Source organism: Homo sapiens, chromosome 12 (assembly GCF_000001405.40).
Source record: "Homo sapiens chromosome 12, GRCh38.p14 Primary Assembly".
Taxonomy (NCBI): Eukaryota; Metazoa; Chordata; class Mammalia; order Primates; family Hominidae; genus Homo; species Homo sapiens.
Window position 1 is genome coordinate 12,131,388 of NC_000012.12, and position 19,443 is coordinate 12,150,830.

Here is a 19,443-nt window from a genome sequence, read left to right on the forward strand (position 1 = left end):
GTGAGCCACCACGCCCGGCTTATTCTTTACATTAAATTCCCTCTTTCACTAAAGAATTCTAGAGAACTTGGCTGGGTTGTTTTTACCATGGGAAAAGTTAGTAAGGGAAAGTGAAGAATATAAAATATGTTAGAGCGTAATTAATAAATCCACTAATTCAGAGCTCATTGGAAACAGGGACTATTTTTATATACTGAAGGCCTAATATATTTTAGTTTCATTTCTCAATTTTCAAAGCTTATTAATTTGTATAAATCTTATGCATATGGAGTGAATTAAAACAATAATATGGAACATGGCACTATGATCAGAAGTGATACAGTCATATGTACTTGAAAAACCCCAACTGACACTAAGCCAAGTAATACTGAAGTTTAAACAACTGAATGGGAAAAAAGGATTGCATGCTGAGGCACTGAAGAATTCTGGATACCTTCACAGTTCTTCTCATCTGATTTGTCCTGGCAGTTTGCATCTCCATTGCATCGGAGGGCACCATCAATACACTGCCCACTGGCACACTGGAACTGGGACTCTGAGCATACAGGACAATTGAGTTCATCACTGTGGTCTTCACATTCAGTAAACCCATCGCACCGCCAAGCCACAGGGATACAGTCAATTTCCCCCGTGAAACAAGTAAACTGCTGAGGAGAACATGTTGGAGGTTCTTCAAATGAACAAGGAGAAGGGGAGTGACAAAAACACAATCATGGTCACACAGAAGTACAAACACATACCTGAGTGAAGCTCATTTAATAATTAACATACACAAAATACTTTATAATAAATATGATTTATAACTATCTCATCTATTCAAAGAAGAAATAAAGGTTTTCACATTACTTCCTTTACATTCACTATAAACTTTTGCCCGCAAAACTATAAGGCAAAAGTTTTTTCATATCTTGTAATCCAAAACAGGATTGTAATATTTGCAATCCGTTACAGTCTCACACAAAACCTAGGAATAATCAGTATAATTACCAAAGACTTTAAAGTTAGCCTAGCACTCAAAAGTTTTCTAGCTCTAAGCTTCTCAAAGGATAGTCCATGAACCCTTAGGCGTTCCTGAGACCTCTTTCAGGGGACCCACTAGGTAAAAACTATTTTTATAATAACATTAAGATGTCATTGCTTTTTTTTGGCTATCTTTGCACTGATGCTGCAAAAGAAATAGTGAATAAAACTTGGTACCTTAGCAGACTCAGGCAAATGACAACAAACTTTATTAGTAATCACTGTACTATACACAGCCACATGTGCACAGTTTAAACAAACACACAAAAAGACCAATTTCACTTAAGAATGTTATTGATGAATCAATAAAAAATTATATTAAAATCAACCCAAGTGTATGCCTCTTTAATAGTCTGATCAATCAAATGGCAATTATGCATAAAGCTCATGTTGCAAACCTAAGTGTGGTAGTTTCTAATGGGAAAGCATTTGTTTTGAGTTGTAAATCCAACTCAAAATGGAATGTCATTTTTACTTGAAAGAATGACTGACAGGTAAATTATACAGTAGTTATTTACACTTGTCTGTTAGTGAATTATCTAGAGAACCCATAACCTTATGATGTGACCATAGGTCAGAAAACCCTGTAACTTTACAACAGAGAATATTGCAGATTACAGGTGAACATTTTACATGGGGAATTTTAGGGATTATTTAATAAGAGCCTATTATGTATTCAGCACTATACTATCTATATTGTATGGAGAATTAAAGTAGATAAAATATATCCACGTCCTTAAAGCAGTTTGAATTTGGTTGGGGATAGAAAGAAACTAATAAACATAAAACAAAGGACACTACTTTGAACTGCATGTCATGCAAACCGTGTGATATAGTTTGGATATTTGTCCCTCCAAATCTCATGTTGAAATGTAATCCCCAATGTTGGAAGTGAGGCCTGGTGGGAAGTGTTTGGATCATGGGGGGTAGATCCCTCATGCCTTGGTGCTATCCTCCTGATAGTAAATGAATTCTTGGGAGAGCTGGTTGTTTAAAAGTGTGTGGCACTCCCTCTAGCCTACTCTCTCTCTCTTGCTCCCTCTTTTGCCATGTGACCTGCCTGCTCACTCTTCACCCCCGCCATCAAAGTTTCCTGAGGCCTATCCAGAAGCTGAACAATACAGCCGGCAGAACCATGAGCCAATTAAACTTTTTCTTTATAAGTTACCCAGCCTCAGGTATTTCTTTATAGCAATGCAAGAATGGCCTAATACACAGTTGTATACATCTGTCAAAACTCGTTTTAATACATACATTAAAAATAATTGCTAAATGTGCAAGCAAGAAAAAAGGCCCTTTAAAAGATATTTTCAAACTGGAAGATGAGATCCTTGACTCAGTTTTATCCATGTTATCATTAACATAAAGAGAAATTTTTCTAGGATTTGCCTCAAAGTAACACTCCAGCACCCTGATAGGGAAACACATGCTATTTTTTGGGGGGGGGGGGGGGGGAGGGTAAAGTAACCATAAAATTGACCAATTTAACCACTTTAAAGTGCATAGCTCAATGACATTAAGTACATTCACATTATTGTGCAATCCCTATTTTTAAAAATTTCAAGTACCAGAGCTTAACTCTTTGTACATATCTGATTTCCCTGACTACGCTGTATGCTATCTCAAAGATCTTCAAATCCCCTACGGTCCAAGCACAGTGCCCATAGCTGCTACTGAATACATGCATTATTTATTTTTTAAAAAACTTATAGTTCGACGAATAAAATTTACTTGTAATCCCACCCACCCGATCAACAATTTTTATATGTTGAATACATATTCTCTTTCAATATTTGTTTACAGAAATATATATTTTATGTACTTGTCATTTTGGCAACATTTTTACATCAACTTCATGATTATAACATTTAATAGCTGTATAAACTCAGTTATTTTACTTAATAATTTTCACACCATTAGAAATTCATTTAAAAATTTCTGCCACTGTAGATAATAGTATGATGTAGTCTTTTTCCTTCAGTTGAATTAACTTAGAATTATCCCCAAAAGGAGGATATCTGAATTAAGGGTATGAATACTATTGTGGTGCCTGATACCATCATACTATAATTTAACAATGGAATGTATCTATTTGTTAAACCTGCTAAGTGATTAAACCAATTTTACTACAACAGTATCACTATACTCAGTGATATCTTTTAAAAAATCATTTTTTACTAGATAAAGAAGCAACAGGAATTTGCTGATGGATTTGAACAAAAGAATATTCTTTCCATCAGACACATTCCCAACAATGACACATAAACTTAGAGAATCTACAATTTAGTGGAGAGAGATTACAGGAGGTAGAATTAATTCATTTTTTTACCTTTTGGGAGAGGGGGGAGGCTACTTTAATATTAGGAAGCATACTCATTCACAGGCTGAAAAGTGTGGTAATATATACGCAGTGAAATACTATTCAGTCAAAAAAAGTAGGAAATCCTGTCATTTGCAACAACACAGATGAACCTGGAAGTCATCCTGTTAAGTGAAATAAGCTAGGCATAGAAACACAAATACTACATGATCTCACACGTGGAGTGTAAAAAAGTCAAAGAAACAGAGTAAAATGATGATTATGAGGCTGGGCAGGGTGGCAGAGAAGAATAACAGAAAAGCCTAGTACAATACAAATGAATGGAACACACGCAACCAATTAAGTTAGTAGACAGAGCAACTTCAATGCCTAGTCATAGAAGTCTAGGCTTAAGATATGGAATATGTTTGCATTTAGGGTTGCACAAGAAAATTACAACATATTTACCTCCACATGATAGCTCATCTTGAAGTAGAACCAGGTGCATGGGGCAAGAACACCTTGTAGTACCATCCCCCTTTACAAGACAAATATGTGAACAGCCACCATTATCCTGAGCACAAGGGTGCTGTCCTGCAAAGAGAAGAGGTGAGGATGGGGAGAGGAGGGGGAGTGGAGGGGGAGAGAAGTGGGAGAGAAGAGAAAAAGGGACAACCCTGTCAAAACTATTTATGAAAATCAAATGTATAATCAGCTTGGACTCTTTTTTTTTACTTTTATTATTATTATTATGGACTTTTTTTACTTTTATCATTATTATTATTATTATTATTATTATTATTTTGAGACAGAGTCTTGCTCTGTAGCTCAGGCTGGAGTACAGTGGTGTGATCTTGGCTCACTGCAAACTCTGCTTCCCAGGTTCAAGTGCTTCTCCTGCCTCAGCCTCCCGAGTAGCTGGGATTGCAGGTGACTGCCGCCATGCCTGGCCAATTTTTCCGTTTTTAGTAAAGATGGAATTTTACCATGGTGGTCAGGTTGGTCCAGCTTGGACTTTTATTTCCACACAATATGATTCTTCACTCAATCTCTACACAACCTACAAGAAACTACTTCTATCTAACCACTGTCCTTATATATTTATATATAAAATATTTTAAGATAATGGTAAAGCTCATCTTAATTTTTGTGAATATGAAGAAATGTTTACTGAAACTAAAAAATTGCTAGGGAGAGGCCGGGTGCGGTGGCTCACGCCTGTAATCCTAGCACTTTGGGAGGCTGCGGCAGGTGGATTGCCTGAACTCAGGAGTTCAAGACCAGCCTGGGCAACACAGTGAAATCCCGTCTCTACTAAAATACAAAAGAAATTAGCTGGGTGTGGTGGCATGCACCTGTAATCCCAGCTACTCGGGAGGCTGAGGCATAAGAATTGCTTGAACCTGGGAGGCGGAGGTTACAGTGAGCCAAGATAGTGCCACTGCACTCCAGCCTGGGCGGCAGAGCAAGACTCCATCTCTACAAAAAACAACAACAAAAAATTGCTAGGGAGAATGCTGAAACTTGAGTATTATTCTATTTAAAATATAAGAATTCTCCTATATTAAGATTTTTAACTCAGAAAATCCGTATATCTGAAAGACAACTTCAGTCAAAAAGTGTATCTTAATGAGGAATCCATTGAGAATTAAAGAGTTATTAGAAGAAAAAAACTTAAAAGGCACATGTAACAGAACAATTCAGAAACAAAATTATTTGGTCAACTGCAAAAGGTAACTTGTAATACTATAAATGTCTAACTTCCTCATACATGGGCTAAGTAAAGAAACCACTAGGCAACTTTTCAAAGTCTGTTTCACAAGTTGTATTTTTAAAGAATCATTGTTTGGAATTTTCTGTTTAGCCTGTATTAAAAGCAACTTGACATCTGTCGTCACAAAATATGAACATCTAATATAAGCCACCATTTATTATTTGACTCTCTTCCACAATAACATTGGTTCTGCTTCAGTTTGTGTTGAGACTGAGGGAGTCAGCTATCTACAAATGAGCATACTGTCCAAAACAGACATCACACATTATATAGAATATACAGTCTATGTAGCAGTGTTTCTCAACCTTTAATTCCATGACATTTTTGATAAAAATCCCATTCTCTTTAATATTAGAAATTTGAAAAAATGATTTACCTAATATACAATCATATTTAAATAGTTATTAAATAAAACCTCTCCCTTGAAATTCTGAAAATCTTGAGATTTTCTGTAATAAAATATTCATGTATCGACTAAATAAATAACTTAGGTATGATATCATTATCATATTTCTATTAAATGTTCAGCCTGAGCTACAAGTCATACCATAAAATGACAACAATTTTTAACTTTCTAATTCTCAATTACTTGTAACTTTACTTCTAAATTCATGAACTGTACCAACATAATGAACACTTGTACAGGGCTACTCCTGTTTCTTCATTCTCCTTTCATGCTTAAATTCAATTTAAAAGCACTGAGCTGAGAAGTTACAGAATTTCAATAATTGTCTCTCTCATACTCAATTTAACATTGGCATCCCCGGTACCATCATGTATGATCAACAGTAGTGACTGCTAGGAAGGCACTTTTTAAAAAACGTTTTGCATATATAAACTCATTTATTCCTCTCTATGATTAGGGTAATTTTGATGACAGATATGAATTAAGAACTAGGCCAAGATGACTAGCCATTTTCAAAAAAAAATAAGAAAATATTTCTGGCTACTTTTCTTTTTTCCTGGGGCTCATGGAGATGGCTATTTTTCTAAGCTGGGAATTGAAATATTTATCCCAAAGGGGGGGAAAAAAACCAAGCACCTACTAATTAAACAGAGTCTTCTCTATGTTTACACACTAATTTTTAGTTTGTTTTGCCTAAGAATAAGATTAACCCATTATAACTATATTCATCATTATATAATTTTTACTTTTTTTCAAGCTATGGGGGGAAGTATAGAGAGGGAAGAAAAGAAATAGATGCTTTATGTTATCAGTATTCCCAAAGGAACTGAAGGAGAGAAAAACAAGGCATGATAAGCAGTCATTGTTGTACCAGGAAATATTCTTTTTTAACAGGCAAGACCCATGCCTTTCCCCCATTTCTGGTTTATGAGATTATGTTTAATTTGGAAAAGCTCCCGGGTAAGGTTGACATAAGGCTTTAAAAGCATGAAGAGGCTGGGTGTGGTGGATCACACCTGTAATCCCAGCACTTTGGGAGGCCAAGGTGGGCAGATCACTTCAAGTCAGAAGTTCGAGATCAGCCTGGACAACATGGTGAAACCCTGCTTCTACTAAAAATTAAAAAAAAAAAAAATTAGCGAGGCATGGTGGCATGCACCTGTAATCCCAGCTACTCTGGAGGCTGAGGCATGAGAATCACTTGAACCCGGGAGGCAGAGGCTGCAGTGAGCCAAGATCGTGACACTGCACTCCAGCCTGGGCGACAGAGTGAGACTCCGTCTCCAAAAAAAAAAAAGCATGGAGAGTTCAAAAAAATGGCAAAACTAAAAGTGCATGAAAGTCTTCAAGGAAACAGAGTTTAAAAATCCACAAAAGTACATATTAATTTATTATAACACATGATTCCTCCAATTAGCTTTATCCCATTAACACTTACTGTATTCTTGAAGGTTCAGCTCCTTTACTGCATGAATGTCACTAAGCTGGGCAATTCGAGCTTGGACTTTGGTTCTACCCTCTCGACCTGTCATGTCAATTTTTTCAATCATTTGCTGCTGTTTATCAATCCAATAGAGCCAGTTTTCAAACACAGTAAGTCCCACAGGCTGCAAGATATTGGAGTCTTCTAATACTATCCGGTTAGCACCTTGGAAAAGGAGAAAATTCAACAGAAATGACTCATGTGGGTCAAGTTATACTTTTGGTAATTATTTACTGACTACCAGTTAGATTCTACAGGTAGAGAAAAGAAAAAAAAAACAAGATCTCTACCACAAAACTTAAAAATCATGGTAAGACATACACTAGAAAACAGCCAATAAACTAGATATTAATATGCAATCAAGAGCAAGTAAGTGCCCAATGTGCAGTAAATATTCTAGTTCATAGAAATGTAGAAAAGAACTTAGAACAGTAGTTTGAAAAACCCTAACTTATATATACAACAGATAAAAATGGCACTTCTCTGGAGGAGCAGTGGTGGTGGACCCAGAGTTCTGAGTATACCTGAGGCATTTATGAAGAACAGCTTCACTCTCACCCCACCTGGCTTCTCAGAACACAATTAGAAAAAATGACTGACTCACCCCAAGGTAAGAATTATTTCTAATCATCTCAGACATAGAGTCATCCAGACTCTGAGGAGGCAACTTCTGCTATTGTTGCACAGTGAGAAAGTTCTTTTATACAGTGGGCTAAAATCTGTGTTCATACCCCCCACCCTGCTTTATTCAGTTTCTCCCTCACTCAAAAAGAAAAAATATACTCATTCCTTCTTTTTCATAACAGTCCTTCAAATATTTATAGAAAGTTCACGGTTCCTAAGTCATGAGTTCAGTCAAACAAAGACATTAGCTGATATTTTGGAAGTATCAAGGAAAGTTTCAGGAAAGAGGCAAGCAAAATGCCAACTTTTTAATAAATGAAGAAAAGTGGGGAGATATTCCAGATGGGAAGGCATTGCCTGAGTCAACATTCAGATGGTAGGCTAAGCACAAGTTTACTTATATATTCTCTCCTAAAACTCTACTAATATGGTGATTGAAAAAATTTTAGGCCGGGTGCAGTGGCACACACCTGTAATCTCAGTAATCTGGGAGGCTGAGGCAGGAGGATCACGTGAGCCTAGGAGTTCGACATCAGCCTGGGCAACATGGCAAAATGCCATCTCTACAAAAAATATAAAAATTAGCCAGGCATGGTGGCATGCGCCTGTAGTCCAGGTACTCAGGAGGCTGAGATGGGAGAATTCCTTGAGCCAGGGAGGTCAAGGCTGTAGTGAGCCAAGTTCACACTGCACTGCAGCCTGGGTGACAGAGTGAGACCCTGTCTCAGGAAAAAAAAAAGAAAGAAAGAAAAAGAAAATAATTTTGAAGGTATAAACCCATAAGGACAAAGAAGGCAGAAGAACAGAAGAGAGCAGGAAAGTGATATAAATTTTGGAAGCTGGAGAATAGATAGACCAGGGATAATGACACAGTAGCCCAGAGAAAGCTAAAGGCCTACAGCCAGTGAAGCTAACAATGAAATTAATTAGCTCAGAAAGTGGAAGCACCAGGTATTTTAGAATGGAACAAAGGTAGGAGTTATGTGGCTGGGGCTGAAAGAGGAGTACTAATTGAAAATATGTGTAAGAAATTACACAGCAATGTTCTCAGTATTTTTAAGCCTCATACTAAATACAAACAGCTAAGGATCACCAAATATTTAAAGAAAACCTCTATCTTTAAATTTGAAGCCCAAGACAAACACAACAAAGGAACTTGGAGAAAAAGACACAAAAGCAGAAGAAAACAAATAAATACCAATTAAAAAAAAAACAAAAAACCTAAAGAATAGGCTGTCTTCAGAGGGGCAGAGCATTTGGAGAACAAAAAAGAGCCCTTGGAAATTAAAAACATGATATCCAAAAATTTCAAAGAAAAATGCAACAAGAGGGTTGGGAGACAAATTTGAGAAGCTCTCCTCAGAAAGTATAACAAAAACACAAAGAGATGGATAATAGGTGAGAAAAATACAGCTACAGTCAAGAAGGTTCAGCATAAAAATAAAAAGCTCCAAAATAGGAAAATGAAAAATAAATTATCAAAGAAACAACACAAGAAAACATTCCAGAATTTAAGGTGTAGACTTCTAGACAGAAAGGATCAACCTAGTAACCAGTTCAATGAGAAGGAAGGGAAGGGGAAGGGAAAGCACGAGCATAGATTTTAAAAATCTTTTTTTTTTTTTTTTGAGACGGAGTTTTGCTCTTTCGCCCAGGCTAGAGTGCAGTGGCTCAATCTCGCCTCACTGCAACCTTCACCTTCCGGTTTCACGTGATTCTCCTGCCTCAGACTCCTGAGTAGCTGGGATTACTCGCACCCGTCACCATGCCAGGCTAATTTTTGTATTTTTAGTAGATATGGGGTTTCACCATGGTGGCCAGGCTGGCCTTGAACTCCTGACCTCATGATCTGCCCGCCTCAGCCTCCAAAAGTGCTGGGATTACAGGCGTGAGCCACTGCACCTGGCCAATTAAAAAAATAAATCTTAAAACAAAACATTAGCATATCAAATCCAGCAATAAATAAAAAGAATGTACCATGCTAAATTTTATTTATTCCAGCAAACTGAGAAAAGAAGTTAAATTCCTTAATTTGACAAAGGTTATCTACAGAAAAACCTTAGCAAAGAATACTTAATCACAAAGTATTGAATGCTTCCCCCAAGCTCAAGGGGAAAAGGACTAGAAAGGAAGAAGAAGGGAAAGAAGGGGAAGGAGAAGGGGAAAAGAAGGGAATGATGAGAAAGGGGAAGAGGAAAGGGCTGGGGGAGGGAGAGTGGAGAGAAAGAAAAAAGGAAAGAAGGGAGGAATCAAACAAAGGCACAGTATCAAATTCTAGGACATTGAGGGGAAAGAACATGTTAAAAGCTTCTGGAGGAAAAAGGAAAAGGACAGCATACAAAGACTGAAATCACAGTCACATCAAACTTCCCAATGACACAAGATGCTCAAAGACAATGGAGTTCTATTTTCGAAATTCTGAGAGAAAACAGCTATAAAACATGAAAGCAAATTATCAACCAAGTGTGAGGAGGAAAAAAAATTCAAACAAGATCAAGAATTTTAACCTTTTATGATGAGCCCCTTTCAAGAAGCTGCTAGAAAATGGTCTCTCTTAAGAAAACCAGAAGAAATGGAGTCCAGGAAATAGCAGGTTCAGCATCTGTATACTCCCAGGACAATGGAGAAATGAAGTTAGCCTAGAAACCAAGCAAATCCAGACTGCAGCAAGATGATGAAGAAACCCAGAGATGTGATTTTAATTATGAAGACAAATAGATGGACTGCTTGATGCATATCCATTTATTGAAACAATATTTACATTACACAAGTATTAACTCTGCAGGGAGGAAAAAAGTTTTAGAAAGAAATGTACCTAACAGTAATATGTTCATAGCCATAAATAATAAGTAATTAAGTCTAGACTTAAAAAAATTATGGCACTAGTCACAGGTGGGTCCTTTCTATCTGCAAACTTGTGCCTCGAATTCTGGAAAGTTCATAACTATGCTGGGGAGGATGGAAAGAAAATTCACACGTGTATTTTGGCGACATATGGTTTAAGATAGCAAAATCTTTATCTTCCAAAGGAAGTCAATGTTTAACGTCTAAAAGAGAAAAATCAAGAAATAGCATTTTTAAGCAAGTTTATTTTAAAATAAGTGAAAATAGTTGTGAATGCTTCTAAGCATGGGAACTGAGAGCAGCAGAGTAGAGCAGTAGGCTTGTTTTTTGTTACAAGCCAGGTAGAACAGTTTGATATCCATAATATTTACATGTATTACTTTAATGAAAATTAAAATTAAACAATAAAGAAGAATGATTTTTAAAGATTAGCTGGCGGTAATGAAAGGATGGTCTGAGGTAGACAACTGGGTAAAAAAGGAAGTCAATAGTGTCACTGCAGGCCCCCAGATATGGTAAGGACCTGATCTACTTTGATGCTGGTGAAAAATAAGTAAGCTACTGGAACCAACAAGGAAAAGATATGCTTATTTATTCAACAAACTAAGCATGCACTGGATGCAATTCGCTATAAAAGGCTATGTGGGTGGCTACAAATACGAAATAGAAAAAGGTCCCAGGATGAAAGCATAATTATCTGTGAATACGTAAGAAAAAAAAAATCAACTTGACAGTAACCTTTTTCAGAGAATAGAAAAAGAACAAACATTTCTTTTTATGTGGCCAACAAAGCCTTGATGGCAAAACACCAACAAATACCTGACAAGAAAAGAAAATTATAAGGTAATCCTTCTCATGAGCGTAGATTAAAAAAAATCTCAAAACATTAGCAAATCAAATCCAGCAATAAAAAAAAGAATAATATATCATGCTAGATTTTATTTATCCCAGTAAACTGGGGAAAGTAAGTAAATTCCTTAATTTGACAAAGGTTATCTACAGAAAAACCTTAGCAAAGAATACTTAATCACAAAAGTACTGAATGCTTCTCCAAGACCTAGAAAACAACAACAACAAAAAAGGATTCTATTATCATCCTATTCAACACTGTACTGGGGGACCCCAGCCAGTATAAGGAAAGAAAAAAACACAACTCTCATTATTTGAAGAAACATGATTCTATAACATAAAAAATCCTAAAGATAAGTATACTTAGCATGGTCCTGTGGTACAAGCTAATATGCTAGAAGGAGAAAAAAAGAAATTGTATTTCCATATTCCAGGCACAATTAGAAAATAAAACATTAAGTTTAGAATAGTCTTTACCACTAGCGTTTAAAAGCACCAAATAAGAAGGAATAACAACTCTAATGAAAGATAGGCAAGACCTCTATGCTGAAAATTATAAAACATTAAGAGAAATTAAAGATCTAAATAAACAGGGAGATTTACCATGATCATGGTTTAGAAGATTAATATTATAAAGATAATAATTCTCTCTAAACTATCAATTTAATGCAAACCCAATGAACATCTTAGTATGTGATTTTTTTTGGAAGGGGAAACTCACAAGCTGATTCTACAATGTACATGGAAATTGCGGTAGTTAACAATAGCCAAGGTAATCCTGAAAAAATACTGAAGACACAGATGAATCTATTGCAGTTATAATAATTGACAGTATAATATAAGTAAAGGCAAAGTGACCAAGGGAACATCAGAGTCTAGAAACAAACACACACAAATACAGTCACCTCATTTATGACCAAGGTGATACTACAGAGTAGTAGGGAAAGGACAGTCTTTCCAGTAAATGATGCTGAATCCAACAGTAATGTGGAAAAAAATGCATTTTAACCCCTGCCTCACACTACACACCAAAATCAATTCCAGATGGATTACAGATCCCAATAAGAAAAGTTAAATGAAGAAATTTCAGGGAAAAAACTAAAGTATCTTTTTGTACCTTTGCAGAAGACAAACATTTCTTTCTTTTTTCTTATTGCTATACATTTATGTGGTACAAGTTTTTTTAACATGGATATATACTATGTATCTATGATGTGTACAAGTGTGAAGTGTGAGCTTTTAGTGTAAAACCATAGTGTACGTTGTACGCATTAAGTAATTTCTCATCCCTCAACTCCCATGAAGATTTCTTAAACAACATAAAAGATGTTAACCGTAAAAAGAAAATTAATAAACTGTACTACATTAAAATTAGGACCTTTCTTTTCATCTAAAGATACTACTGGGAGAATAAAAAAGGTAAATCACAAACTGGGAGATTTATGCAGTATATATCTTGACAAAGGATTCATATCTAGAATGTACAAAGAATTCCTATACAACAATAAACTTTCAAGTTACCAGTTTTGGGTTATTTTTTGAGACAGGGTCTCGGCTTTATTGGCCAGGCTGGAGTGCAGTGGTGCAATCATGATCATGGCTCATTGCAGCAGTGGGACAAAATTAATTGTAATGAATGAAACATTTTCATGAAGAGCTTTATCACAGACCTGCCTGCCAGGCATGGTGGCTCATGCCTGTAATCCCAGAACTTTGGGAGGCCAAGGCAGGGGGATCACTTGAGCCCAGGAGTTTGAGACTAGCCTCAGCAACACAGCAAGACCCCCATCTCTACAAAAATAAAATTAGCCGGGTGTGGTGGTGTGTGCCCATAGTCCTAGCTACTCAGGAAGCTGAGGCAGGAGGACTGTTTGAGCTAGGGAGTTTGAGGCTGCAGCAAGCTATAATCACACCACTGTACTCTAGCCTGGGTGACAGGGCAAAACCCTTTCTCAAACAAAAATAAAAACAAAAGATAGTTTAAAATATTGACATAAGTAACTAATGTACAAATGAGAGGTGATATCCATGGAATACTATGCAACCATAAAAAAGGATAAGTTCATGTCCTTTGCAGAGACATGGATGAAGCTGGAAACCATCATTCTCAGCAAACTATCACAAGGACAGAAAACCAAACACCACATGTTCTCACTCACAGGTGGGAATTAAACAATGAGATCACTTGGACACAGGGTGGGGAACATCACACACTGGGGCCTGTCGGGGGGTGGGGGGCTAGGGGAGGGATAGCATTAGGAGAAATACCTAATGTAAATTACTAGTTAATGGGTGCAGCAAACCAACAGGGCACATGTATACCTATGTATCAAACCTGCACATTGTGCACATGTATCCTAAAACTTATAATTAAAAAAAAAACTGCAATTACTTTTGCACCAACCTAATACATTCAGATTGCAACAGAAGGTGAATTTTGGAAAAAACAATTATTCAAAAGACATAAATGCATTAGGTACCCAGAAAAAAAAATTAGAGGTGATATAAGAGACAGAGGAGATCAGATGAGGGAAAGAATATACTATACCAGGCGTGTAACTATACATGCGTAAGTGTGTGCCTAACTGTCTGGAATCAGAGAATACATAATGGAAGGGAGGCATTTGAACCTGAAGACATTAAAAAAAATGTGAAAAAAAGATTAAAATAATTATAAATGTATTCAAACATACAAAAATGTACATGATACAGGAGTAAGCAGTCTCAACATTTTAGTATGCTAATGCTCCAGACTTGAGATATATTTGCTTATTTCTTGAGGAAAATACTGACATGTATGTCTGTTTCTTTTCCCCTCTCCTCTCTCCCCTCCCTCCCTCCCTCCCTCCCCCTTCTCTCTTTCCCTCTCTCTCTTTGTTGAAGAACCTGAGATCTGAAGATCTGAGATCTGAGATCCCACATTTCTTTTTTCTTTTTCTTTTTTTTTTTTTTTTTTTTTGAGACAGTCTCGTTCTCGTTCCATAACCCAGGCTGGAGTGCAGTGGCGCCGTCTTGACTCACTGCAACCACCGCCTCCCATGTTCAAGCGATTCTCCTGCCTCAGCCTGCCGAGTAGCTGAGATTACAGGTGCCCACCACCATGCTTGGCTATTTTCTGTATTTTTAGTAGAGACAGCATTTTGCCATGTTGGCCAGGCTGGTCTCAAACTCCTGACCTCAGGTGATCCACCCTCTTCGGCCTCTCAAAGTGCTGAGATTACAAGCATGAGCCACCACACCTGGCCTGAGTTCCCACATTTCTTAACGGTATATATACATACACTGTGTATACACAGTGTATATACTATACGGTTTCAAATTTTAAACAAAACTAGATCTTAAGAATTTTTCTGAAATTTAATTTTTAAAAATCATTCATGTTAGTGCACACAGATCTACCTTATTCTTTTGAATGACTGTAATATTCCATACACTGATAGAATGTATTTCTCCATGAAGGACTATCACAAATAATGCTCAGCAAATACCCTTATACACTTACATCGGTCTTTCTCTAAGACAGCTATCTACAAAGGAAATCACCAGATCAAAGGGAATGCATATTTTAAATTTTGATTATTACTGGCAAATTGTCCTCTAAAAAGGCTCTATCAATTTCCACTTCCACCAAAGCACATGAGGGCATGTAATTTTCTACCATACTGGCCAATGCTAGGCAATAATCAACGTTAACATATTTTTGCCATGCTGACAGACACAAATAGTATATTTTAATTTCATTTACCTGATCACTAGGGAGGCCAACACAGACTATATGGACATCAGAAATTGGGGACAGAGGAGGTAATTATAATTACAGACATAAGATTGCAGAGAAATGTGAAAGTAAAAGTATATCTTAAGACGAACAAATAATTTAATTTGGTTAAAATACCAGAAAGGTAAACGCCACGATGAGGTTGTGAAAGGTGAATACTAACTTATACCAACTTAAGAGTACAACTAGACTTTTTTCCTACAGGTTATGAAACTACCCTGAAGATTTTTTAAGTAAAGCAGTGACATTAAAACCATGCTTCAGAAAATTTAGGAGCCATGTGTAAACTTTCATGGAGAAAAACTGGCAGGGAGATCAACCAGAGGCTAGGATTTGGCCACAGATGACAAGAACATAAACTAGAGCAGAAGAGTTAGGAAAGGATGCATTAGAAATGTATTATTTACGCCGGGCGCGGTGGCTTACGCCTGTAATCCCAGCACTTTGGGAGGCCGAGGCGGGTGGATCACAAGGTCAGGAGATCGAGACCATCCTGGCTAACACGGTGAAACCCTGTCTCTACTAAAAATAGAAAAAATTAGCTGGGCGCAGTGGCAGGTGCCTGTAGTCCCAGATACTCAGGAGGCTGAGGCAGGAGAATGGCGTGAACCCGGGAACTGCATTCCAGCCTGGGCGATAAAGCAAGACTCCGTCTCAAAAAAAAAGAAATATATTATTTACAGAACCAAGATCAAGAAAACTGGCAGGTAGTTAAGTAACAGAGGAGTAATCATGTTGACAGTTGAAGAAAAAGCTCTTCACCAACCAACCTGATGCTGACTACATTTAATGAATAAAACTGCCAAGAAATGTGCCAAAAACAATACGATGCAAGAAAAACACAATAGATGAATCATCTTAAAAACTCAAATTAAAATAAGGAAACATATTTCTTGGGTACCTGAGAGATCACTGCTTTCAATTCGCCGGAGATCTGAATCAGCCCAAAAGAGCTTGCCCAGCCTGCTATCAAGGGCTAAAGCAATTGGTTTACTTAAGCCACTGAAAAAGAGGACCTCCCGTTCTGTCCCATCCAAAGCAGCCCGTTCAATTTTAGGAGACCTTTCCTGAAGATTGGTAAAATACATATACCTAGAGGGAAAGGAGGAAAAAAATAAGTTACTGGAGTAAGAAACCACATAAAATGAGGATATTCTTATTAAGACAAATGGAGGTAGAGTATTTTTAAGTATTGTTTTTAAAAGTTTTAAAATACGTATTTTTTGACCAGGCACAGTGGCTCATGCCTGTAATCTCAGCACTTTGGGAGACTGAGGCGGGGGTATTGCTTAAGCTTATGAGTGAGAGACCAGCTTGGGCAACACAGCAAAACCCCATTTCTACAAAAAATACCCCAAAAATTAGCCAGGCATGGTGGCGTGTGCCTGTAGTCCCAGCTACTTGGAAGGCTGAGGTGGGAGGATCACTTGAGCCCAGGAGGCAGAGGTTGCAGTGAGCTGAGATTGTGTCACTGCACTCTAGCCTGGGTGATCGAGCCAAACCTTGTATCCAAATATATATATATATATCCTCTTTTATATAAATATATATGTGTATATATATATAAATCCTCTTTTATATAAATAAATGTGTATAGATAAAAATCCTTTTATAAATATATACATATCTATTTATATATTTACATTTTTAAAAGGTCATGGGACACTTTTACTACTTTTAATAGTAGCAACAAAGGTACACAGAAGTTATTAGGGAGCTTTCATAGATTAACAGAATAGTGTTAGACATAGGCACACATATGTTTTCAGAATAATACGACAAATTAAAGATCAGTGACTAGAGAGACCTTAACACAAAATTTTAAATTCTTTCTAATTAATCTATTTAATAACTAAAAAGAAGTTACATATAAATCACTTCTTATATTTAACGTCTAGATTTCATCCTTTTCCTCTCTTTTGAAGTAAGCTACTTTACTTGCTGAATACCTTATCATTGACTCAGATACAACTGATTATTGAGTATTTATTAAATGCAAAGCTCTTTATTAAATGAAAGAAAGCATACTAGTTCTCATCATAAAGAAAACTGATGTCTAGTGGTAAATACAAGACTAAAAAATAATTAAAAGTAACGTAAATTGGAAAGGACTAAGTATAACTTAGAGAGGCACAGATACAGAGTACTGAGTATTCAGGAGGGGGCAAAAATCACATCTGGCTGGGATGAGGTAGATCGAGGAAAACTTCCTGGAGGACGTGGCAGTTGAAATGGTCCTGGAGGTGTGGTTAAGACTTAGAATTAAAGCACTAGTGGCCCAGGAAAGAAAGTCTGGGCAGTGAAATCAGAGAAAGTGTAAGACAACTGTTAAGATAATGCAGAAACAAACTGATAGAGAATATTGAATTGTTTGCTGGAGCACAGGACACTTAAAGGTAAATAAATAACAGGCTGAAAAAGAAGGGTGAGGAGAGTCTCAGAAGCCACAGTATCTGAACGCCACTTTAGTAACATACCCTTTCTCTGGGTTTACCACAACGGCTCGAGGTCTGTCCTGCTCGCCTTTCAGCACCACTCCAACTGATCTCCCATCTAATCTTGTCACATTAATGACATTGGTAGCCTCACAAGTCCAGTAGATGTAGCGGCTGTAAATATCAATGCTGAGGTCATAGGGTTGTATTTCCAGGTTCTGACTCGGAACTGAGCTCACAACCACAGTAAAGCCCTAGGGAAAAAAAGAAATACAGAGAAAATTAAACTCCAGGGGCAGATAACCCTGAGGCAATCAGTCACAATGCTTACACCTACATGGGCACACAGCTGAGAAGGCTCTCTCAAGTCTTAAGGAGTATTTCTTACTGATACCTTTTTTTATGGGTAATGTGCTTCTTTGTTAATACACATCTCAAATGTTCCTTGGGTTATCCTGCTGCTGAAAAAAAGAGCTGAGGTCAGATTAGTTGCTCCAAGAACCTGATAATGCCTTGATTAAGAGATGGGAGTGAGAAGGTGGCAACTATCTTCTCTAAACTGGAGACAACTGTGGCTAAAACCACACCCTAGAAATATCTCTAAAGCAGCGGATTGCAACTAGAGGCAATATTGCCCCGCCATGGGCATTTGGCAATGTATGAAGACATTTTTTACTGTCACGACTGTGGGAATACAACTGGTAACTAGCAGGCAGAGACCAGGGATGCTGTTAAACATCCTACAATATTCCGAGCAGCCCCCCACAACAAACAATTAATCCAGCCCAAAACGACCACAGTGCTTGAGAAACCCTGCTCTAGAGATAACAGCAACTAGTAAAGGCTACAAATCAAGTCATCTCCTTTTCTGATCCTCAAGTCTACACATGCAATTTTTTTACAATAAAGTCAAGCAAAAAGAGAGGCTTTGTCCATTTGTGCCATCTGAACTGTATCTTACTGGTATCTCTGAAGTAACATATTCCTTAATTTCTATCTATTAGTTATCAGCCCATCAGTCCTGGCCTATATGGTGGAAAGTGTGTCTGGAATACACAGCTATTACTATACCCTAAATGATCTCTCAGCAGCCCTAAATATATTACCTCCTTGGTCTTTATTTTAAGATGAGACATAGTGAAAAACGGTACTCTAACTTCCCTAAATTTTAATACATTCAAGATACAACTTACGATCACTGCTATGAGGATGACAACAAGTAATTATTTATAGTATTATAATCCCAGTCTGACAGGGCTCGGCCACAGAAAGCAAGCAAAGAAGTATCGATAGTGATGTGTAAATCCATAATTGGCATGTAAATGGGTAAGATTTATTGATAATATCCTCATTCCCATCCCACAGTCACCATATAATTATGACCAAAAAAACCCACTGGATTAATAACATGTTAGATGTTTTTAACCCTACTGAGATTGTGTTATATGTTTCATATCCTCTGAACCTTTTAAATAATAGTTAATTAGTAATGTAACCGTTATTTATTGAGTTCCTGTTACATAACACATAAGAGCTATGTGCTTTGCATTCTTTTCAGCTAAAAAAGTTCCTAAGAATCCTAAGTGAGGGATAGAGCTGGAATCAGAACCAAGGCCTATTTCAAGGCTTCTAATACTCCATACAATAGAAATGTAAGGAAAAAGACTTCATAAAGAAACGTAGGGGGCAGTCACAAAGCCATTACCAACACAACAGCTTAAGTACGCCTAACAATTTTCATCATAATATCATCATCAAACAATTGCTTACTCAAAATATCGTCAGAAGGAAAAAATAAGCTACTAGGTCCAGAATTTCAGTTTCATACACACATACACACACACTTAAGCAGAGTCAAGACTTAAGTGAAACAGAGTGGTTGGTGAGTCCAGTTATTAGTCAGGAGAAATGAATTTTGAACCAAGCTCTCA

The 19,443-nt window shown here is 37.0% G+C and overlaps 1 protein-coding gene across 16 annotated transcripts in view; it reads right to left on the bottom strand.

Moving 5' to 3' along the window:
- LRP6 (LDL receptor related protein 6) overlaps positions 1–19,443 on the bottom strand; it is a 151,020-nt gene that overhangs the window by 15,363 nt on the left and 116,214 nt on the right. For 13 of the 16 annotated variants that reach the window (NR_182264.1, XR_002957325.2, NM_002336.3 and 10 more), the window contains 5 exons: positions 17,555–17,766; positions 15,979–16,169; positions 6,938–7,147; positions 3,788–3,913; positions 434–670 (listed from right to left, as the gene is read on the bottom strand). Coding sequence is in view for 14 of the 16 variants with exons in the window: in NM_002336.3 (NP_002327.2) it covers positions 434–670; positions 3,788–3,913; positions 6,938–7,147; positions 15,979–16,169; positions 17,555–17,766 (976 nt within the window). In the remaining 2 variants the exon portion in view is untranslated. Of the gene's footprint in view, positions 1–433; positions 671–3,787; positions 3,914–6,937; positions 7,148–8,076; positions 8,170–15,978; positions 16,170–17,554; positions 17,767–19,443 lie in introns of all 16 variants that reach the window. The other 3 variants (NM_001414244.1, NM_001414246.1, NM_001414251.1) reach the window with 3 other exon arrangements.